The following is a 24,035-nucleotide window of genomic DNA, read 5'->3' on the forward strand; positions in this document are numbered from 1 at the left end:
CATTTCTCTAATGACCAGTGATGATGAGCTTTTTTTCATATCTTTGCTGGCCACATAAATATCTTCTTTTGAGAAGTGTCTGTTCATATCCTTCATCCATTTTTGATGGGGCTGTTTGTTTTTTTTCTTGTAAATTTGTTTAAGTTCCTTGTAATTCTGGATATCAGCCCTTTGTCAGATGGATAGATTGCAAAGCTTTTCTCCCATTATGTAGGTTGCCTGTTCACTGTGATGATAGTTTCTTTTGCTGTGCAGAAGCTCTTTAGTTTAATTAGATCCCATTTGTCAATTTTGGCTTTTGTTGCCATTGCTTTTGGTGTTTTAGTCATGAAGTTTTTTGCCCATGTCTGTGTCCTAAATGGTATTGCCTAGGTTTTCTTCTATGGTTTTTATGGTTTTAGGTCTTACATTTAAGTCTTTAATCCATCTTGAGTTAATTTTTGTATCAGGTGTAAGGAACGGGTCTAGTTTCAGTTTTCTGCATATGGCTAGCCAGTTTTCCCAACACTATTTACTAAATAGGGAACCCTTTCCCCATTGCTTGTTTTTGTCAGGTTTGTCAAAGATCAGATGGTTGTAGATGTGTGGTGTTATTTCTGAGGCCTCTGTTCTTTCCATTGGTCTATATATCTGTTTTGGTACCAGTACCATGCTGTTTTGGTTACTGTAGCCATATAGTATAGTTTGAAGTCAGGTAGCATGATGCCTTTAGCTTTGTTCTTTTTGCTTAGGATCGTCTTGGCTATGTGGGCTCTTTTTTGGTTCCATGTGAAATTTAAAGTAGTTTTTTCTAATTATGCAAAGAAAGTAAATGGTAGCTTGGTGGGGATAGTGTTGAATCTATAAATTACTTTGGGCAGTATAGCCACTTTTGCGATATTGATTCTTCTTATCCATGAGCATGGAATGTTTTTCCATTTGTTTGTTTCCTCGCTTATTTCCTTGAGCAGTGGTTTGTAGTTCTCCTTGAAGAGGTCCTTCACACCCCTTGTAAGTTGGATTTCTAGGTATTTTATTATCTTTGTAGCAATTATGAATGGGAGTTTACTCACGATTTGGCTCTGTTTGTCTATTATTGGTGTATAGGAATGCTTGTGATTTTTGCACATGGATTTCATATCCCGAGACTTTGCTGAAGTTGCTTATCAGCTTAAGGAGATTTTGGGCTGAGATGATGGGGTTTTCTAAATATGCAATCAAGTCATCTGCAAACAGAGACAATTTTACTTCCACTCTTCCTATTTGAATACCCTTTATTTCTTTCTCTTGACTGATTGCCCTGGCCAGAACTTTCAATTCTATATTGAATAGGAGTGGTGAGAGAGGACATCCTTGTCTTGTACCGGTTTTTAAAGGGAATGCTTCCAGCTTTTGCCCATTCAGTATGATATTGGCTATGGGTTTGTCATAAATAGCTCTTATTATTTTGAGATAACGTTCTATCAATAACTAGTTATTGAGAGTTTTTAGCATAAAGTTGTGTTGAATTTTATCAAAGGACTTTTCTGCATCTATTGGGATAATCATGTGGTTTTTGTGATTGGTTCTGTTTATGTGATGGAGTACGTTTATTGATTTCCATATGTTGCACCAGCCTTGCATCCCAGGGATGAAGCCAACTTGATCATGGTGTGTAAGCTTTTTGATGTGCTGCTGGATTCAGTTTGCCAGTGTTTTATTGAGGGTTTTCACATCAATGTTCATCAGGAATATTGGCCTGTAATTTTCTTTTCTTGTGTCTATGCCAGGTTTTGCTATCAGGATGATGCTGGCCTCATTAAATGAGTTAGGGAGGAGTCCTTCTTTTTCTGTCGTTTGGAATAGTTTCAGAAGGAATGGTACCATCTCCTCTTTCTACCTGTGGTAGAATTCAGCTGTGAATCCATCTGGTGCTGGGCTGTTTTTGGTTGGTAGGCTGTTAACTACTGCCTCAATTTCAGAACTTGTTATTGGCCTATTCAGGGATTCGATTTCTTCCTGGTTTAGTCTTGTGAGCGTGTATGTGTCCAGGAATTAATCAATTTCTTTTAGATTTTCTAGTTTATTTGCATAAAGGTGTTTATTGTATTCTCTGATGGTAATTTGTATTTTTAAGGGATCAGTGGTGATATCCCCTTTATCATTTTTTATTATGTCTATTTGATTCTTCTCTCTTTTTTTCTTTATTAGTCTTTCTTTCTCTTGACTGATTGCCCTGGGCAGAACTTCTGATACTACGTTGAATAGGAGTGGTGAGAGAGGGCATCTTTGTCTTGTGCCAGGTTTCTAAGGGAATGCTTCCAGCTTTTGCCCATTCAGTATGATATTGGCTGTGGGTTTGTCATAAATGGCTCTTATTATTTTGAGATGCATTCCATCAATACCTAGTTTATTGAGAGTTTTTAGCATGAAGGGGTATTGAATTTGTCAAAGGCCTTTTCTGCATCTATTGTGATAATCATGGGGTTTTTGTCATTGGTTCTGTTTATGTGATGGATTACGTTTATTTATTTGCATATGTTGAACCAGCCTTGCATCCCAGGGATGATCGTCATGGATAAACTATTTGATGTGCTACTGGATTAGATTTGCTAGTATTTTATTAAGGATTTTTACACCAATGTTCATCAGGGATATTGGCCTAAAATTTTCAATTTTTTGTTATGTCTCCACCAGGTTTTGGTATCAGGATGATACTGGCCTCATAAAGTGAGTTAAGGAGGAGTTTCTCTTTTTCTATTGCTTGGAACAGTTTTAGAAAAAACGGTACCAGCTCCTCTTTGTACCTCTGGTAGAATTCAGCTGTGAATCCCTCTGGTCCTAAGCTTTTTTTGGTTGGTAGCCTATTAATTACTGCCTCAATTTCAGAACTTGTTATTGTTCTATTCAGGGATTCGAGTTCTTCCTGGTTTATTCTTGGGAGGGTGTATGTGTCCAGGAATTTATCCATTTCTTCCAGATTTTCTAGTTTATTTGCATAGAGGTGTTTACAGTATTCTCTGATGGTAGTACGCATTACTTTGGGATCAGTAGTTATCTCCCCTTTATCATTTTTTTATTGTGTCTATTTCCTTCTTCTCTCTTTTCTTCTTTATTAGTCTAGCTAGTGGTCTATCTATTTTGTTGATCTTTTCAAAAAAGCCAACTCCTGGATTCACTGATTTTTTGAAGGGTTTTTCGTGTCTCTATCTCCTTCAGTTCTGCTCTGATCTTAGTTATTTCTTGTCTTCTGCTAGCTTCTGAATTTGTTTGCTCTTGCTTCTCTAGTTCTTTTAATTGTGATATTAGAATGTTGATTTTAAATATTTCCTTCTTTCTCCTGTGGGCATTTAGTGCTGTAAATTTCCCTCTAAACAGTGCTTTAGCTGTGTCCCAGAGATTCTGGTACATTGTGTCTTTGTTCTCATTGGTTTTGAATAAATTGTTTATTTCTGCCTTAATTTTGTTATTTACCCAGTAGTCACTTAGGAGCAGGTTGTTCAGTTTCCACGTAGTTGTGTGGTTTTGAGTGAGTTTCTAAATCCTGAGTTCTAATTTGATTGCACCGTGGTCTGAGAGAGTGTTTTTTATGATTTCTGTTCTTTTGCATTTGCTGAGGAGTGTTTTACTTCCAATTTTGTGGGTGATTTTAGAATAAGTGTGATGTGGTGCTGAGAAGGATGTATATTCTGTTTATTTGAGGTGGAGAGTTCTGTAGATGTCTATTAGGTCCCCTTGGTCCAGAGCTGAGTTCAAGTCCTGCATATCCTTTTTTAATTTTCTGTCTCGTTGATCTGTCTAATATTGACAGTGGGGTATTAAAGTCTCCCACTATTATTGTGTGGGAGTCTAAGTCTCTCTGTAGGTCTCTAAGAACTTGCTTTATGAATCTGGGTGCTCCTGTATTGGGTGCGTATATATTTAGGATAGTTAGCTCTTCTTGTTGCATTGATCCCTTTACCATTATGTAACTGCCTTCTTTGTCTTTTTTGATCTTTGTTGGTTTAAAGTCTGTTTTATCAGAGACTAGGATTGCAACCCCTGCTTTTTTTTTTTTTTTTTGCTTTCCATTTTCTTGGTAAATATTCCTCCGTCCCTTTAATTTGAGCCTACGTGTGTCTTTGCACGTGAGACGGGTCTCCTGAATACAGCACACTGATGGGTCTTGACTCTTTATCTAATTTGCCAGTCTGTGTCTTTTAATTGGGGCTTTTGTCCCATTTATATTTAAGGTTAATATTGTTATATGTGAAATTGATCCTGTCATTATGTTGCTAGTTGGTTAGTTTGCCCATTAGTTGATGCAATTTCTTCATAGTGTCGCTGGTCTTTGCATTTTGGTTTGGTTTTGCAATGGCTGGTACTGATTTTTCCTTACCATATTTAGTGCTTCCTTCAGGAGCTCTTGTAAGGCAAGCCAGGTGAGAAAATCTCTCAGCATTTGCTTGTCTGTAAAGGATTTTTTTTCACCTTTGCTTATGAAACTTAGTTTGGCTGGATATGAAATTCTGGGTTGAAAATTCTTTTCTTCAAGTATGTTGAATATTGGCCCCCGCTCTCTTCTGGTTTGTAGGGTTTCTGCAGAGATCTGCTGTTAGTCTGATGGGCTTCCCTTTGTGGGTAACCCGCCTTTCTCTCTGGCTGCCCTTAACATTTTTTCCTTCATTTCAACTTTGGTGAATCTGACAATTATGTGTCTTGAGGTTGCTCTTCTTAAGGAGTATCTTTGTGGTGTTCTCTGCATTTTCTGAATTTTAACGTTGGCCTGTCTTGCTAGGTTGGGGAAGTTCTCCTGGATAATATCTTGAAGAGTGTTTTCCAACTTGATTCCATTCTCCCCATCACTTTCAGGTACACCAATCAAATGTAGGTTTGGTCTTTTCACATAGTCCCATATTTCTTGGAGGCTTTGTTCTTTCCTTTTCATTCTTTTTTCTCTATTCTTGTCTTCATGCTTTATTTCATTAAGTTGATCTTTAATCTCTGATATCCTTTTTTCTGCTTAATTGATTCGACGATTGTTACTTGTGTATGCTTCCCGAAGTTCTCATACTGTGTTTTTCAGCTCCATTAGGTCATTTATGCTTTTCTCTAAACTGGTTATTCTAGTTAGCAACTCCTCTAACCATTTTTCAAGGTTCTTAGCTTCCTTGCATTGAGCTAGAACATGCTCCTTTAGCTCGGAGGAGTTTGTTATTACCCACCTTCTGAAGCCTACTTCTGTCAATTTGTCAAACTCATTCTCTGTCCAGTTTTGTTCTCTTGCTGGTGAGGAGTTGTGATCCTTTGGAGGAGAAGAGGCTTTCTGGTTTTTGGAATTTTCGGCTTTTTTGTGCTGATTTTTCCTCATCTTCATGGATTTATCTACCTTTGGTCTTTGATGTTGGTGACCTTCAGTTGGGTTTTCTGTGTGGACATCCTTTTTGTTGATGTTGATGCTATTTCTTTCTGTTTGTTAGTGTTCCTTCTAACAGGCAGGCCCCTCTGCTGCAGGTCTGCTGAAGTTTGCTGCAGGTCCACTCCAGACCCTGTTTGCCTGGGTATCACCAGCGGAGGCTGCAGAACAGCGAAGATTGCTGCCTGTTCCTTCTTCTGGAAGCTTCAGCCCAGAGGGGTACTCTCCAGATGCCAGCCAGAGCTCTCCTGTATGAGGTGTCTGTCAAACCCTGCTGGGAGGTATCTCCCAGTCAGGATACACGGGGGTCAGGGACCCACTTGAGGAGGCAGTCTGTCCCTTAGGAGAGCTTCAGTGCTGTGCTTGGAGATCTGCTGCTCTCTTCAGAGCCAGCAGGCAGGAACTTTTAAGTCTGCTGAAGCTGCCCCCACAGCTGCCCCTTCCCCCAGGTGCTCTATCCCAGGGAGATGGGGGTTTTATCTATAAGCCCCTGACTGTGGCTGCTGCCTTTCTTTCAGAGATGCCCTGCCCAGAGAGGAGGAATCCAGAGAGGCAGCCTGGCTACAGTGGCTTTGCTGAGCTGCAGTGGGCTCCACCCAGTTCAAACTCCAGGTGGTTTTGTTTACACTGTGAGGGGAAAACTGCCTACTCAAACCTCAGTAATGGCAAATGCCCCTCCCCCCACCATGCTCGAGTGTCCCAGGTTGACTTCAGACTGCTGTGCTGGCAGCGAGAATTTCAATGCAGGGGATCTTAGCTTGCTGGGCTCCATGGGGGTGGGATCTGCTGAGCTAGACCACTTGGCTCCCTGGTTTCAGCCCCCTTTCCAGGGGAGTGAACGGTTCTGTCTGGCTGGCATTCCAGGCACCACTGGGGTATGAAAAAAAACTCCTGCAGCTAGCTCGGTGTCTGCCCAAATGGCCACCTAGTTTTGTACTTGAAACCCAGGGCCCTGATTATGTAGGCACCAGAGGGAATCTCCTGGTCTGCAGGTTGCAAAGACCATGGGAAAAGTGTAGTATCTGTGCTGGAATGCATCGTTCCCAATGGCACAGTCCTTCACAGCTTCCCTTAGCTAGGGGAGGGAGTTTCCTGACCCCTTGAAATTCCCAGGTGAGGTGATGCCCCACCCTGCTTCAGCTCACCCTCCATGCGCTGCACCCACTGTCTAACCAGTCCCAGTGAGATGAGCCACATACCTCAGTTGGAAATGCACAAATCACCTGCCTTCTGCATTGATCTCAGTGGGAGCTGCAGACTGGAACTGTTCCTATTCAACCATCTTGCCAGCCACCCCCGTCAAGATATGTTTCTCTGTTCATATCTTTTGCAAACTTTTTGATTGTGTTGTTTGTTTTTTTCTTCTAAATTTAAGTTCCTTGTAAATTCTGGATATTAGGCATTTGTCAGGTGGGTAGATTGCAAAACTGTATAGCCAAGACAATCCTAAGCAAAAAGAGCAAAGCTGGAGGCATCATGCTACCTAACTTCAAGCTATACTACAAGACTACAGTAACTGAAACAGCATGATACTGGTACCAAAACAGACATATAGACCAATGGAACAGAACAGAGACCTCAGAAATAACACCATACATCTACAGCAATCTGATCTTCAACAAACCTGAAAAAAACAAGCAATGGAGAAAGTATCTCCTATTCAATAGATTATGCTGGGAAAACTGGCTAGCCATATGCAGAAAATTGAAATTAGACCCCTTCCTTACACCTTATAATAAAATTAACTCAAGATGGATTAAAGACTTAAATTTAAAACCCCAAACCATAAAAACCCTAGAAGAATACCTAGGCAATACCATTCAGGACATAAGCATGGGCAAAAACTTCATGACAAAAATGCCAAAAGCAATTGCAACAAAACAAAAGTTGACAAATGGAATCTAATTAAACTAAAGAGCTTCTGCACAGCAAAAGAAACTATAATCAGAGTGAACAAGCTGTTTATTCTTTAGTTTGCTGAGGTGGATTCTTAGGTTACTTACTTTACATCTTTATTCTATATACATACACACATACTATATATACTTATATATACATATATATAGTAACTTTTTCCTCTACACACTGTTTTTGCTGTATCCTACAAATTTTGATAAGTTGTATTTTTATTTTTATTTAGTTCCACATGCAGATCCTGAATGTATTTTGTTAGAATTGTACATAAATATTTCATTGGGGGGCTACTATGAATAGTATTATTCTTAAATTTTGGATTCCTATTGTTTATTGTGGATGTATAGAATTTGTATCTGTGCCCTTGCCAAAGTCACTTATTAGTTCTATGTGCTTTTCTTAGATTACTTGGGATTTTCTACATAAGTCATCTGGGTATATTAATAGCTTTATTTATCCCTTCCTAATCTATATACCATTCATTTCTTTTCTTGATTCATTGTACTTGCTAGTACTTCCAATACGATACTGAATAGGAGTGGTGAGAGTGGTCCTCCTTGCCTTGATCCCAATCATAGGGAGAAAGCATGCAGGTTTTCACCATTAAGTATGATGTCAGCTGTAAGGTTTTTGTAGATGCCTTTTATCATATTGAGAAAGTTTTCTTCTATTTCTTGTTTGCTGAGAGTTTTTATCTTGAATGAATGTTGAAATTGTCAAGTGATTTTCTGCATCTTTTGATATAACCATGCATTTTTTTCTCCTTTAGACTGTTAATACAATGAATTACATTGATTGATTTTCCAATGTTTATCCATTCTTGCATTCCTGGAGAGAAACCCCACTTGGTGATGATGTATTGTTCTTGTAATATATTGCTGGGTTAAATTGCTAAGTGTTTTTTTTTTTTTTTTTTGAAGATTTTTGCACCTATGTTCATGAGGGATATTGGTCTATAATTGTCTTTTCTTGTATGGTCATTGCTGGTTGTGGTATCAGAGTAATGGTGGCTCAAGTCAGTTGTGACATGTCCCCTCCTCTTCTTAGATGCTTAATAGAATTCTACAGTGAAATCACCTGGGCCAGGAGTTTTATTTTTCAGAATAATTTTGATTATGAAATTAATTTCTTTAGTAGATATAAGATTATTGAGGTTATTTATTTTATCTTGTGTACATTTTGGTAGGTTATATCTTTCAAGCAATTGGTCCATTTTATCTAACTTGTCATATTTGTGTGCATAGAATTGTTTTTAATATTCCTTCGTTGCCCTTTAATGTCTCAGTCTATAGTCATATCTCCTCTTTCATTCTTGTTATCCATTGTAAGTGCCTTCTCTCTTTTACTTGATCATCAAGCTAGAGGTTTATTAATTTTATTGCATTTTTTTCATAGAATCAGCTTTTAGTTTAATTGATTTTCTCTGTTGTTTTGTTGTTCTCAATGTTATTAATTTATTTTTCTTTATTATTTCCTTTTGTCTTTGCTTTAGTTTTAGTGTCTTCTTTTTCTGGTTTCTTAAGATGGAAGCTTAAGTTATTGATTAAGCTTACTTCTTTTCTAGTATAAGCATGTAATGCTATTAATTTTTTTCTAAGTGCCTTTTGGGGCACATTTCACATATTTTGATATTTATTTCTATTTTTATTCAGTTCAAAATACTTTCTAATTTCTCTTCAGAGTGCCTCTTTGCGCCATGGATTAAATGGTAGTGTGTAGTTTAATTTCCAAATCTGGAGATTTTCCAAAAATCCTTGGTTATCAATTTTTAGTTTAATTATATTATAGTCAGAGAATATATTTTAGATAATTCAATTCTTCTAAGTTTAACAAATTTGTTCTATGGCCCAGGATATGGTCTGTTTTGGTGAATATTTCCATGTGCTCTTGAAAAAAATGTGTATTCTGTAGTTGTTGGGTAGAATGTTATATAAAGATCAACTAGAACTACTAGTTCATCAACCAACTACTTTGTTGATGATGTTGCTCAGGTTTCTATAGCCTTGCTGCTTTTCTATTTGTTTTATCAGTTACTTCAAGAGACAACTTGAAATGCATAAAAATAATTATGGATTTGTTTATTTCTCCTTTTAATTCTGTCCATCTATGCTTTACTTATTTTGAAGCTCTGTTGTCAATTGCATACACATTTAAAATTGTCATGTCTTCTTGAGGAACTGACCTTTTTATCATCATGTGGTGTCCCTTTTTGTCTGTGGTTATTTTCCTTTTCCTGAAGTTTACTTTGTCTGATATTAAATACACACACCAGCTTTTTTCTTCTCGTTAGTGTTTGCATGTTATATCTTTTTCTCATAATTTCATTTTTAACCCATGTATATCATTATGTCTTGAGTAAAATTCCTGTAGACAGCATACAGTTGGTTACTGTGTACGTGTGTGTGTGTGTGTTTAAAAATCCAATCTAATTATCACTCCCTTTTAATTGTTTTGTTTAAACTATTTTCATTTAATGTAATTACTGATATGGTTGCATTTTGGTGCAGCATTTTATCATTAATTTCTGTTCTCTGTATTTTATTACCTTGGTTTTCTTTTTTTGTGTTTTTTTGAGTTACTTACTTTTGAGAATCCTATTTTAATTTCTCTATTGCATTTTTGACTATATCCCTTTGAATTGTTGTTTTCAGTGACTGTTGTAGGAAATGCGATATACACATCAAACTTTATACAATCTAGTTAGCATCAATATCTTACCATTTCACATAAAAATAAGGAATAAGTATACATATATAATCATTTTACTCTTCTTCCTTTTACAAAATTTTCATATGTATTCCATTTACTTATTGAAAATCCCATCATACAGCATTATGCTTTTTGCTTTCAACAAAAATATATTGTTACACAAAATTATGGGACAAAAAAAGTCTATTTTATTTAGGGAGACATTTACTATTTTTGTTGCTCTTTGATCATTATTGATGTTCTAGATTTCCTTTAGTTATTATTTCCTTTCCACTTGAATTTCTTTATATTTCTTTAAAATTGATTTATTAGCAATGAATTATCTTATTTTTCCTTCATCAGAGAACATCTTCATTTTTCCTTCATTCCTGAATGATAATCTCATTGGTTATAGAATTCTGGGTTGACAGGCAGGTCTTTTCTTTCAGCACTTTAAAACTGTTGTTTCACTGTCTTCTGGTCTCCATCATTCCTGATGAAAAATCAGCACACATTTGGATCTTTGTCCTCTAAATGTAATATATTGTTTTTCTTTGCCTGCTTTCAAGACTCTATTTTTGATTTTCAGTAGTTTTAAAATAATATGTACAGGCATGATTTCTTTGAGTTTATCCTTTTGGGGATTCACCAAGCTTCTTAGATTTGTAGATTTTGTTTTTCCTGGAATTTGGGAAGTGTTTAGTCAAATATTTTTCTGCACATACATTTTTCTCCTGTCTTGCTGGAACTTTGATGAGATGAATGTTGTATCTTTTGCTATTGTTCCACAGGCTCTTAAGCTCTGTTTTATTTTTTTAAACTGTTGAATCTCTATATTTCAGATTGCATAGTTTCTATTGACCAAATTCACTAATTCATTCATCTGTCATCCCCATTCTTCTATTGATCCCTTCCAGTTTTTATGTATATTACAGTTTATTTTCATTGTTGTATCTTTTAGTTTTATGATTTTCATTTAGTTCATTTTTAGACCTTCTATTTCTCAGAAGAGAACCGATATCTTTACATTTATTCCAAAATTGTCGACACTTACTTCATGTAGCACAATCATAATAACTGCTCTAAAATCTTGCCTGATAATTGCAGCATTTAGTCACCTCGAGGTTAGCATCACTTGATTGCCTTTTCCTTTGACAATTTCTTAGGTTTTTATGATTCTTTATACATTGAATAATCTTTGATTGCATTTGGGCATATTCAATACTATGTTATGAGACTCTGAGTCCTGTAAAATATTATAGAGAATTTTTTTTATTTTGTTTTAGCTGGCAGTCAAACCTGTTGCATCTAGACTGCAAGTCCTAAGCCAACTTCTGTAAGCTATAGTTCCGATGTCAGTTTAGTTAAAAAAGCCATTGCAGTGATCTTCTGGTTTGTACTCTTTCGTACATTCTTGGTGCCAATTTGGGATCTGGGCAGTGATCTATGGTGTAGTTGAGTTCATAAAGCCTTTGCTGTGTTCATTACATCTGGTTTCACACATGAGCAGCTTGGGACTGAGCCCAGGACTTTAGAGATTTAAAAATCCCCTTTTCCAGCTTCATCATCTCTGTAGTTCTCTCTAATTCCCAGAGGCCCTTTTCCTGGTGGTCTAGCTAGAAACCCAGAGAGCTTCAGCTTTCCCACATTTTTATGTACTTCTTGTGACTGGGCCTAATTTGGGACAAAGTAGTGGGAGCAAAGAGCTTGTGGGGCTGCTACTGCTGCCTCTACTGACAACATTTTTGCCCAGTGTAGTACAGGGAGAGTAAAAAGGGGCTTCTCCACTTCACAGTGGTAACCTCTGTCATACCAGTGAAGGATGGCGTGACTTTTCTTTGCTGGCACTCAAAATGGCTTGGGGCCACCTCCGTCTTGTTTGGAGCAGTGGACTCCTGTTTTGTTGCTCATGCTTGAGAGTGAAAAGGGGTTTGTTCCACACTGGCCCTCACTCCTGCTTCTCTGGCTAGAGAGAGTGAACTTCTCTTGAATCTTACTTTATCTGCGCCTGTTAGTAGTTTTGATTTTTGCCTGCCACAGAGTTTAAGCCAGGATATAGAAGACAGGGGGAGAAACAAACCAACAGGCAATTTATTGCTGATTTGTCCTTTGAGTACGGAATTCTGTATTCAGACTACCTGGTCTTATTTTCCTTTCAGAGTCTTCTGAGAGTTGCTTTATGTATTTTGTGCAGAATTCTTAGTTGTAATCAGTCGAGGAGGTAGGATGGAGTTATTTACTCCATTTTAACTGAAACTGGAACTCATCTGCTTTGCTTTTACAAGTACATTGTATTTATAATATGAAAATATATATCTGGTTGGGAGTATTTTTAAAAATGCAGATTCTCAGGTCCTATCCTTAGACAAAATAAATCAAAATATTCTGGGAGTGGAGACTAATAACCTATATTTTATGGAATATCCCCATATGGGATTCTGATGGAACAGTCAGGTTTGGCACCTACTTTTTCTCATTTGCAGATGAGAAAATGGAGACCTAGGTTGTATTCTGTTCTCATTCAGTTTATTCTTTATTGCCCATGTTTTTTTATTTCACCCTGTGAGTCATGTTTTGTGCTAATTGGGAATATTTTCCCACTGTATCAAGGGCCAGGCTTATTAGTGCAACTGTAAGTGTTTATGTATTTATTTATTTATTTTTATTTTATTTATTTTTTTTTGAGATGGCGTCTCTCTCTGTCACCCAGGCTGGAGTGCAATGGTGTGATCTCAGCTCACTGCAACCTCTGCCTCCCAGGTTCAAGTGATTCTCCTGCCTCAGCCTCCTGAGTAGCTGGGACTGCAGGTGCCTGCCACCACGCCCAGTTAATTTTTATATTTTTAATAGAGACAGGGTTTAACCATGTGGCCAGGATGGTCTCGATCTCTTGATCTTGTGGTCTGCCTGCCTCGGCCTCCCAAAGTGCTGGGATTACAGGCGTGAGCCACCGTGCCATGCTAACTGTAGGTGTTTAAACCACAAGGCAGTAGAAGAGGAGAAATGGGTAAAATTGGCTACATGTGATAGTTGGATTTGGTTTCTTCCAAACATTTTCCATTGTGAAAGCTTCATAGCCAATCAGAAGAGAAAAATCATTTTACAGAAATTCATGGAATTAAAAACTTCTTACAAATTATCCAATTGACATATAAGGAATAGACCCGAATCCCAGACAGGGAGAGAACTAGAAAAGAAATTTTCAGGTTTTGGCTGAGGACATAAGAGGACAATGGGGAGGAAGAGCTGATAAATATCTAAATGTTAGAATAGAGGCAAAAATAGGACTGGATGAGCTACCTGTGAAATTAGTTACAAAATGAGTGAATATCATAATTAATAAGTAAAGCTATATCAATCTTGTTTAATTTAATGGGACTCTGTACTTGTTTGTTCCCTAATATATATCATCTTGTATACTAAGGATGGCTTTGTAGATTGTATGCCACACAACTCCATAAGGCACCCTATGCATATATTAGAATGCCTGGAGTTGAATACAACTGTATGTGCTACTCTTTCTTGTATCTCCAAGATTTTTTTTGTTGTTGTTTGTTTTTTTTTTTACTAAACAGTAAAGTGGTACCTTTTCTAGATGACTGTGTACTATGATTGAAAGGCAGTAGAAGAGGATGAGTGGAGAAAAGCAAAGTGGAGGGGCGTTAGTGTAAATCAATTGTAGGATGTATGGGGTTCTAGAAATAGTGAGAACTTACAACCTGAACTCATTAAATTCTCTACTACCACAGTCAATTTCTTCCCCCTTCAGCACCCCTCTGCAACCATCCCACAGAACAGACTTCTAAAGGAAACATTTGGCCAGAGGACAAGGCCCAGCAAACGTACACTCTTTTTACTATTATTCCAGTATAACTTCTGGTGAGCCAAATTGAGTGACATGGAAGACCCTTTTGTCTAGAGCTAAACCTCTTCTTTCTGACCATCCTGTGCTAACACCCAAGCCTTAGTCCTTCAAATCTTACACTGCAGGAAAAAATAGACTCATAGCATGAAAGCTAGAAGGTAAATTGGAAATTGGAGGTGCAGGGGAATGGTGTGAAAAATCTTTTATAAGGCTTGTTTTTCAAAATACAATCCTCTATAAGCATTAGGGCCACCTGTTTTCTTTTTGCCAAAAGAGGCTTATTCCTGAGCTTCACCACCAGAGAGTTTCTGATTCCATAAGTGTGGATTTGGGATCAGGAATCTGTATTCACAGGCTTTTCAGGTTATTTGTAGAAACTTTAAAGTTTGAGAGGAAGGAGGACGGTATCATAATATTGGAGGAAAATTGACCTTATTTACCCACCTTACCTTGATTATAACATGGACCCCTGATTATTCATTGAACTGAGTAAACCTAGAAAACTAAGAATAACTTAGTATTATGTATATAAAGGTAGTCAGGTGTACTATCTTAGTAATACAATACTTGTCCAATTCTTACTGAACAATTGGCTCAGAAAAGACAAATTATTTTGGTAATTATAGATAAGTTACCTTACAGTTTATGTTTGCATTTGTGTTTCTTTTTTCTTCTAGAACTTTATTGAAGAAAAATGAATGTAAACAGTTTGTTTCTTCTTATTCATTCTTTTCTTTTTAGAGTTTTGCTTATTTTAAATATCTTTTCCTTTTTATTTTTACACATTTATGGGGTAGGTATGCAATTTTGTTACATGCATAGACTGCATAGTGGTCAGGTCAGGGCTTTTAGGGTATCTGTCATCTTAATAACATACATTGTTGTGCCCATTAACCAATTTTTCATCATCCTCCCCTCTCCCACTCCCTCACTCTTCTGTGTCTTCATTATCTATCATTCCACTCTCTATGTCCATGTGACCACATAAAATAATTTTCTGTAGTTTTTCTAATATGTAGCATACAAATAGATGGAGTTATCAAGTGGAAAAGACAGTGGAGAAAGGAAATTTGTAATATTGGCAGGACTGAGTCACATGGGGCTTCAGGATTTACTTAGATTTCACATATAAATTAGAAGACTATTTTATTACTTCTAGTTAGCATGAAGTGTCTTCATACATCACATTGCTACTTAGCACTGCAAATTTGTTTTTTTTTTTTGTTGTTTGTCTGTTTTTGAGACAGCGTTTTACTGTTGTCGCCCAGGCTGGAGTGCAGTGGTGTGATCTCGGCTCACTGCAACCTCCACCTCCTGGGTTCAAGTGATTCTCCTGCCTCAGCCTGCCAAGTAGCTGGGATTATGGGCATGCACCACCATGCCTGGCTAATTTTTTTTTATATTTTTAGTAGTCGGGGTTTCAGCATGTTGACCAGGTTGGTCTTGAACTCCTGACCTGAGGTGATCCGCCTGCCTTGGCCTCCCAAAGTTCTGGGCAAAGTTGTATTTTCAAGGGACATTTTCTATCATAAAAATGATCTAAAAGAAGATTTCGGTTTTGTCAAGAAAAACATTTGCAAGTCACTTGTGAGAACCTAGAAAATTAATGTATGTATTATAAAATAGTCTTTTACTTACCGTTTGTCTGAGAAATTCCACTTCTAGATATTTACCCCCAAAAATGAAAATGCATGTTCACAAAATAAAATTACAAGAACAATCATAACAGCCTTAATTATAATACTGCAAAACTTGAAACAACTTAAATGGCTAACTTTAAGAGAATAGATAAATAAATTGTGGTATATTCATAGAATGAAATATTAGAAAGAAAAAAAGGAAGAAACCACTCATGGATGAATCTCACAAACCTTATTCTGAGTGAAAGATCCCAGACACAAAAGACCATATGCTCTGCAATTCTATTTATGAAGTCCTAGAATTGGCAAAACTAATCTATGGCATGGAAAAAATTCAGAACAATGATTGTGTCTGGGTTGGGAGTATAAATCGATTGGAAATGTACATTAGGGAACTTTCTGAGATGATGAGAGTATTGAAAATCTGGATAGGGAATATGGGTTATATGGGCACATTATATTTCTCATATGGTATTTGTCAAAATTACACAGTTAAGATTTTTGCCTTCTGATATATATAAATTTTACCTCTATAAAGAATGTTATAGAAATAATAATTGAGTTAGGAATAGAGGAAAATGTAAGAAACAAGAATGACAGAATGTTGTAGTTGTTGCAGCTGGATGATAGATATGTTGGCTTTGTTATACTGGTCTGTTTACTTTGCATAGGCAGGACATTTTCCATAATAAAACGTTTAAAAGGTTGCACGCGGTGGCTTGGGCCTGTAATCCCAGCGCTTTGGGAGGCTGAGGCGGGTGGATCACGAGGTCAGGAGATTGACACCATCCTGGCCAACATGGTGAAACCCTGTCTCTACTAAAAATACAAAAACTAGCTGGGCGTGGTGGCACATGCCTGTAATCCCAGCTACTCAGGAGGCTGAGGCAGGAGAATTGCTTGAACCGGGGAGTGGGAAGTTGCCGTGAGCTGGAGGTTGCGGTGAGCCGAGATTGCGCCACTGCACTCCAGCCTGGCGACAGAGCGAGACTCAAAAAAAAAAAAAAAAAAAAGTTTAAAAACTCGGCTGGACATCTCTGATTCTGATCAGATTTTTTTGGTCTACATGATTTTTTGTTGTTGATCTACTCAAAATTGTGATGTTTCAGTATTAATATAAGGAAATAAAAAATAGAATACCATTAATCCATAAACTCTGAAATAATTTGTGCCTGCAGTTTACAAACTCCATCCATGCTAGACTTACATTCTAGCCTTCAGGTTTTATTAGTTGAATGCTTTTATAAAAGTTATTTTAGGAATCAAATAAATGAATACTGTACTTGAAAGAGTCTGAGGTCATTGTTAAAGTTTCCATGAGGAGTTGAAGTGGTAATTCTTGTTCTTAATAATAGCCATACTCTTTAATATCTGTCTTAGTTTGTTTGGGCTACTATAACAAAATATCATAGACTGGTGTCTTCTAAACAACAGAAATTTATTGCTCACGTTGCGGAGGTGGGGAAATTCAAGATCAAGGCACCAGCAGATTCTGCATCTAGTGAGGACCTGCTTCCTGGTTCATAGATGGCACCTTCTTGCTGTGTGTGTCCTTATGTGGTGGAGGGGGGATGGCAGTTCTCTGGCGTCTCTTTTATAAGGGCACTAATCCCATTTATGAGGACTCTTCCTTCATGACCTAATCACCTCCCAAAGGCTCCATCTCCTAACATCATCACAATGGTGATTAGGTTCCAACACATGAATTTGAAGGGACACAAACATTCAGACCATAATAATATCTGTGCTTTGCAACTACTCATGGTTTTTTTTTTTTTTTTTTTTTTTTAGACAGAGTCTCACTCTGTCACCCAGGCTGGAGTGCAGTGGCGTGATCTCGTCTCACTGCTGCAACCTCTGCCTCCCGGATTCAAGCAATTCTCCTGCCTCAGCCTCCCGAGTAGCTGGGACTACAGGTGCGTGCCACCATGCCCAGATAATTTTTGTATTTTTTTTAATAGAGACATGGTTTCACCATGTTGGCCAGGCTGGTCTTGAACTCCTGACCTCGTGAACCACCTGCCTTGGCTTCCCAAAGTGCTGGGATTACAGGCGTGAGCCACCGCACCCAGCCCACTCATGGTTATGGTGATCACTCAGAAAGAGATCATTATGGCCATCAGTTTGCTTCAGAGTAGAATGTCTTCAGGTTCAGCATAGTATGTGCACATAGCAGACAACTGAAGATTTGTTGACTGAGTAGCTAGTAGACAAGAGGAATACGCAGACACTGTGACCACCAATAATCTTGATTTCCCTTTTGCCTTGTAAGAGGATGTTCTCAGTTAAACTGGACAGCCTATATCCCCACAACCATCCATGCCATGGGCTGTGGTACTTCAATGGCCATTTGTTTAGTACAGATGTATTTGTGATACAAAGTATTTGTGAACATTTCCCAGTTGTGTGAATTATTTAACCTTTTTTTAGCTCCTTTTCCTCATTTGTAAAATGAGATTAATACTAGTACTTACTTCATTGGAGTCTTATAAAATTAAATGAATCAATATGTATAACACACTTACAACAGCACTTGAGACATAGTACCATGAGAGTGCTTATTAGAATTATCATCATTATTATTACTATTATTATTTACCATGATTGATACTGATCTTTGTTGTTTTTTTCAAGCGAGAGCTCTTATTATCTAAGTTAAGCCCCATGTTTCCTTTAAGTGTCCAGGCAACGTAGTATCTTCTGGCTGTGTAGAGCTGGCTTTAGCAATTTCTTGGTACGAAATCACCACTTATTCCTGTAATTCTATTCTCTTTTGGATCTTGATAACCCTACAATACCACTGCTATGGCCTTAGCCACTAAAAAGTGGCTTTGCTGGGCCTGCTAAGAATTATAACCTTCAGAGGGGAATCTACAAAAACGTGGGGACTTTGAGGAACATGGACCACTCCATTCACTTGAGGGGCACTTAAACTCCATAAAATTTACCAAAGACCACACTGAAAATCTTGCATAGCACAACTGCCAAGAGTCTTAGCTGGAGAGGGACTCACTCTTATGTCAACAAGGCTGTATAAAAATATGTGGCTCTTTTATACCCATAAATCATGACTTTAGAGGCAGAGAGACTCGGATACCCACAAATCGTGACTTTAGAGGCAGAGAGACTCAGATGGTATGAGGCGTCTTCCAGAATAAAGGGGTTTATTTATGCTGTTCAAATTTAGGATAAAGTTAGCGTTAGGTAACTTCCTGGTTATTTGTGATGTGGGTCTCTAACTGAGAATTTCTGCAGTCTCTCTAGATGCCACAGTAGCATCACTTAAATTAGAGGCCGCAGCCTCTGGATGCTTGTCACAAAATTTGCCTGTGGTGATCACATTCATGATCAGAGATTTGTTTATTTCCACAAAAAATGCAGCCTGGAACCTACCCAGCAGCTAAACCCAGACTAGCCTTGTCATCCCTATGAAGGTTGGAATTATCTACCTGGATGGGGTTGTCCACATTTACAGGGCAGGGTTCCCAGACCCTAAGTATGATTTCCAAGAGTTTCTTCTGGCTTTCTTTGCTGTAAGGGCCCCCAAGTATGGGCAATTCTTTTGCTTGCAAATGAGAATCCAAACATCCTGTGTTTTTTCTGCTTCTCAAAATCTTCTACCCATTAAGCAAGCTGCGTTTTGAATTATAACATCATTTATATTTTAGTTCACGTGATATTTATGATTGTATCTTCTCTGTTCATGGTCTGTTTCCCTTTCTTCCTCTCTGTCCAATTCACAGTAATTATAGAAATGAGTTAAAATATTTTTACAGGGAAGTCAGATTAAAAACCAGCAAAAGTAAATACAATAAAAGGGAAACTAGGTGGCCTTAGGCAGGTACCTTTGATTAATTTTACAAAGTTGTTATGCATGAATTGCTTATATGCAGTGTAAGCAAGAATATAAGTTTATGAGCTATTAACATTTTCTTATGAAAGTAGGAAACTGACTGGCTATTCTATGATTCCTGAGGTTCCTCTGGGGGAAAAAAAAGCAAAAAACCTTACTCTTCATGTCAATAATTGTTTCTACTCTAGACCTTACTGAAAGCTGCCTGTTATGTATACCACATGCTCTTTCTTGTCTGACCTGTCCTAGGTTCAGTTTTCTTTATTGGGTTCTCAATTGTTCAACACTTATGAAATGGACATATCTCAGCTGGTAGCAAAGAGAGTGAGAAACATTTAGAGAGGGGCAAATAATTGACAAACATGAAGATACTGAGCCCTTCCTTCCATGTTGCCACCAACCGTTAGCAAGTTGGCTTGCCAGAAAATTAAGAGTAAGCTTTGCAGACAGTTTCTGACTCGCCTGTAATGCCAGCACTTTGGGAGTCCAAGGCAAGCAGATCCCTTGAGCCCAGGAGTTCAAGGCCAGCCTGGACAACATAGTGAAACCCCGTCTTTACTAAAAATATAAAAATTGGCTGGGTGTGGTGGTGTGTGCCTGTTGTCCCAGCTACTCGGGAGGCTGAGGCAGGAGAATCGCTTGAACCTGGGAGGTGGAAGTTGTGGCGAGTCAAGATCTCACCACTGCACTCCAGCCTGGGTAACAGAGTGAGACTCTGCCAAAAAAAAAAAAAAAAAAAAAAAGTCTGTAAAACTCATAAACCTCGGGTGAGACTTTCATAAAGATAAAAGGAGTAAGACAGAAATTGGTAATATCAGGAATCAAAACTGGGAGTCACATCACTAGAGACCCTCATGCCAATAAACTGAAAATTTAGAGGAAGTGGACAAACAGTAAAATACTTAAAATATTGAAAAACTTAAAACACTGAAACCTGAGAGAAGATGTAAAAACATGATCTGAACTGTATATATGAAATAAATGCAATCAGTAATTAAATAATTTTGACACTGTGTTTCTGTATGTTACACACAAACCAATTATTTGGACTTGGTGCATGTAGTCTTAGCTACTCACTGAGTAGCTGAGACACGAGAATTGCTTGAACCTCGGAGGTGGCGGTTGCAGTGAGCTGAGATCACCTCACTGCATTCCAGCATGGGCGACAGAATGAGACTGTCAAAAAAAAAAAAAAAAAAAAAAAAAAAAAAAAAAAAAAAAAGAGAGAGAGAGAGAAAGAGAAAAAAGAAAGTTCCTGACTCATCACCTGTTGTGTTGCAGGTGATTTGTACTTTTGAATAAATGACAGAAATGCCCGGAGCCCCTTTCCTTGGCAGGCAGTGATTGATCTAGAGAAGCACATATAAGTCCTTAGTGAATTTTAAGGGTTAACAAGATAGTAATGCCAAGAGTGTCGGTCCCTTTCCCTATTGTATTACTTAATAAAGGACAGATGTCTCTCCAAGGACCTTACTGGCGATTAGAGAATGCATTTGCCCTTAGTATTATTTCAATAACTGTTAAACCTCAATGGACTTCATTGTTTGTGTTTGTAGTTGTAACTCACATGATATACTCTATAAACCTGGTACAAATATGGACATACTTTTTGTATGTAGGTTGAGTATCTCTTATCCAAAATGCTTGGGTTGAGAAGTATTTTGGATTTTTTACGTTTTTGAATATTTGTATATACACAATGAGATATCTTAGGGATGGGATCCAAGTCTAAATATGAAATTCATTTATGTTTCATGCACACCTTATATGCATAGCCTGAAGGTAATTTATTACTTAAAATAATTTTGTGTATTAAAGAAAGTTTTTTTTTTTTTTTGAGATGGAGTCTCACTCTGCCACCCAGGCTGGAGTGCAATGGCATGAACTCAGCTCACCGCAACCTCCACCTCCCGGGTTCAAGCGACTCTCCTGCCTCAGCCTCCTGAGTAGCTGGGATTACAGGCGTGTGCCACCATGCCTGGCTAATTGTTGGTATTTTTAGTAGAGTCGGGGTTTCACCGTGTTGGCCAGGCTGGTCTCGAGCTCCTGTCCTCAGGTGATCTGCTTGCATCGCTAAAGAAAGTTTTGACTGTGACTCATCACATGAGGTGAGGTCGAATTTTGCACTTATGGTGTCATGCTGTCACTTTAAAAGCTTTGCATTTTGGAGCATTTCAGATTTTGGATATTTGGATTAGGGATGTTCAACCTGTATTTCCATTTAACTGCTCAAGACTGGATTCCTTTGAAGTAGTTTCTCGCTCTCTCCCAAGACCCTCCCTTTATCCTCCCCTCCCCACATATAGTCTTGGAATGCAAGGGCTTATGGTCTCAGTGGCAGTCAACCTGGCTTTCATAGTCAAGTGGAGAGAGAGCTGGGCCTGATCGGTGCACTACGGCCCACGCTTCTGAAATCCATAAGGTGTTGTTATTGAACACTCATCCTGCATGGTCCAGCGTCAATGCTTGTCGACTGATGTAGTGAGACTTTGGTGACCAGATTCTGGAAAATGATGCCATGATCTTTTCTGGGCAGACCAAGCCATTATCACAATGTGGAATCAACCAGTATGCCCTATGATGGTCATTTGCTCTTCACACACATTTATAATCCTGTCCCCCCACCACCCCCAAGGTTTAAATTGGCCCCTAGAGTGTCAGGACAGGTTTAGCTATCCATCACCTAATGAAACCTGCACTGTGATTCCACTTCATTCCCTGGGATTCACACCCTGGAAGTTGAGCATCTTTTACTATTAGACATTCAAAACACAATACAATGTGTATGATGATACCCATTTTCTCTGGCATCTGAGATCCTGGACAACTCCTTAGGGCACTACTTTCAGGGACACCAAAGTGGGTTTTCACTTTTTTCCTGCTAGAGACAGGGAAAAAAACCTGTACAAATATACTATAGTATATAGTATAATTCAATATATATGGGTTAAAAAGGCTTTTGTGGTCCAACATGGTGACCTACCTAGTGCATCTAATATTATATTTACAGATACGTGCACCTGGTCCAAATAATTGGCTTATGTGTAACATATGGAAACTTAGTGTATTCGTTTGTTGGGGCTGCCATAATAAATTACCACACTCTTGGTGGCTTAAAGCAACAGAAATTTATCCTCCCACAGTTCTGGAGGCCAGAAGTCCACAGTCAGTTTTATTGACTTAAAATCAAGATATCAGAAAGGGCACATGCCTCTCCCTCTGGAGGCCCTAGGGGTGAATCCATTCCTTGCCTCTTCCAACTTCTGGTGGCTGTGGGCATGCCTTAGCTTGTGTCAGCATCCCTCCAGTCTCTGCCTCTATGGTCACATGGCCTTCTTCTCTTCCATGCATGTGAAATCTCCACTGGGCTTCCTCTTACAGGGATATTTATGAATAATACAGGATAATTTCCCCATCTCAAGATCTATAAACCATCACATCTGCAAAGCCTTTGCCATATAAGGTAATCTCACATGTTCCAGGGATTAGGATGTGGACATACATTTTGGAAGCATTATGTAGCCTATCACATATAGCTAATTTAAATTTAAGATTGACTATGTAATACATCCCACTCATCTTTTCCTTATTCATAGAAACTCATGACACTAAGAAATACTTACCATGTACACATTGACTGACTGGACAATGAAAGTGAAGAATGAAATGGCATTATTCAACAAAAAGATATTAGTAACTCTGCAATATGCTTCTGAGACAGATAAGCTTGATCAGTTACAACCATTTGTAAACACTGAAAGGAATTGCATGAGTATCTTGGTATCTCTGGGAATAATTTGGTGATTAAAAAAATCCAGCAAAACAATAAATCAATAGAAAAACTTACAGGGTGTTTAGAAAAAGAAACATTGCTATATATTGATTACCCACTTTCTCCCTGGTTTAAATTCAAGCACTGCAGAATATGTTGAATAAGCACATTTAGCATACTCAGTTTATAAAAGTGTCTTTTGTCAGTTTGATGCAAACTACATTGGGGGAAATAAAAAATAAAATCCAGAATTAATGTTCCAAACTGCAATTGCTGAAAGCGGGGAGGGATAGTGAAAAACCCCAAATAGAAATGACACTTAAAAATAAATCCTTGAGTGACTGCCAGCCTGTTTGATATCTATTTCCTAAAGCATAGAGCATTTGTTGTCTCACATCTGAAATAGATGGTTTTGTTTTGCTAGAGCTTACACATATGTACATTTGTTTATTCTCTGAAGGTGATTCTTCATCATAAGGTATTGGAAACAGATTCTTCAGGGAAAACATCTGCTCAGCTATAATGCTAGCATCTGCCAAGTTAGGTGTGCTGAGAAAAAAAGAACTTGATCTTAGTGGTTCAGGGACCTCAAATTTACAAGTTGACAAAATATCAAACACAGACAAGTTGCATCTTTCCTCCATTACTCCTGCCCATAGTCTGGAACTATATCCAGAATCCTAGCCTAGCCGTGGCCATGCCAGACACAGAACACAAAAGTGAGACAGCATTAATCCTAGGGTCAGTTCTAGGGGCAGAGGCCATTGGGTCTACTAAGCAAAGGGCCCTGACACCAAAGCAGACCTTGGCCTTGCTTTACAGTTTCCTTAGATCTTTCCCTGTTGCTCTAGGCTGGCTTGATGTTTATGGATCTGAGGTCTTGGATGTGGCACATAACGTAGTCATTAGGAGCGTGAATGCTGGAGCCAGATTGCCATGGTTCAGACTCT

The 24,035-nt window shown here is 38.1% G+C and overlaps 4 annotated features.

Moving 5' to 3' along the window:
• Positions 5,552-6,052: an enhancer, noted in NCBI's record as "H3K4me1 hESC enhancer chrX:42201990-42202490 (GRCh37/hg19 assembly coordinates)". NCBI's record gives its function as "activates a minimal SCP1, AML or CMV promoter by ChIP-STARR-seq in naive H9 embryonic stem cells {active_cell/tissue: H9 hESC(naive)}" and the evidence as "EXISTENCE:reporter gene assay evidence [ECO:0000049][PMID:30033119]".
• Positions 5,552-6,553: a biological region, named in NCBI's record as "H3K4me1 hESC enhancers GRCh37_chrX:42201990-42202490 and GRCh37_chrX:42202491-42202991".
• Positions 5,871-6,165: an enhancer, noted in NCBI's record as "tiled region #2101; HepG2 Activating DNase matched - State 3:PromF". NCBI's record gives its function as "activates a minimal TATA promoter and a strong SV40 promoter by Sharpr-MPRA in HepG2 cells {active_cell/tissue: HepG2}" and the evidence as "EXISTENCE:reporter gene assay evidence [ECO:0000049][PMID:27701403]".
• Positions 6,053-6,553: an enhancer, noted in NCBI's record as "H3K4me1 hESC enhancer chrX:42202491-42202991 (GRCh37/hg19 assembly coordinates)". NCBI's record gives its function as "activates a minimal SCP1, AML or CMV promoter by ChIP-STARR-seq in naive H9 embryonic stem cells {active_cell/tissue: H9 hESC(naive)}" and the evidence as "EXISTENCE:reporter gene assay evidence [ECO:0000049][PMID:30033119]".

The sequence above is a fragment of the Homo sapiens genome, chromosome X, assembly GCF_000001405.40.
Source record: "Homo sapiens chromosome X, GRCh38.p14 Primary Assembly".
Taxonomy (NCBI): Eukaryota; Metazoa; Chordata; class Mammalia; order Primates; family Hominidae; genus Homo; species Homo sapiens.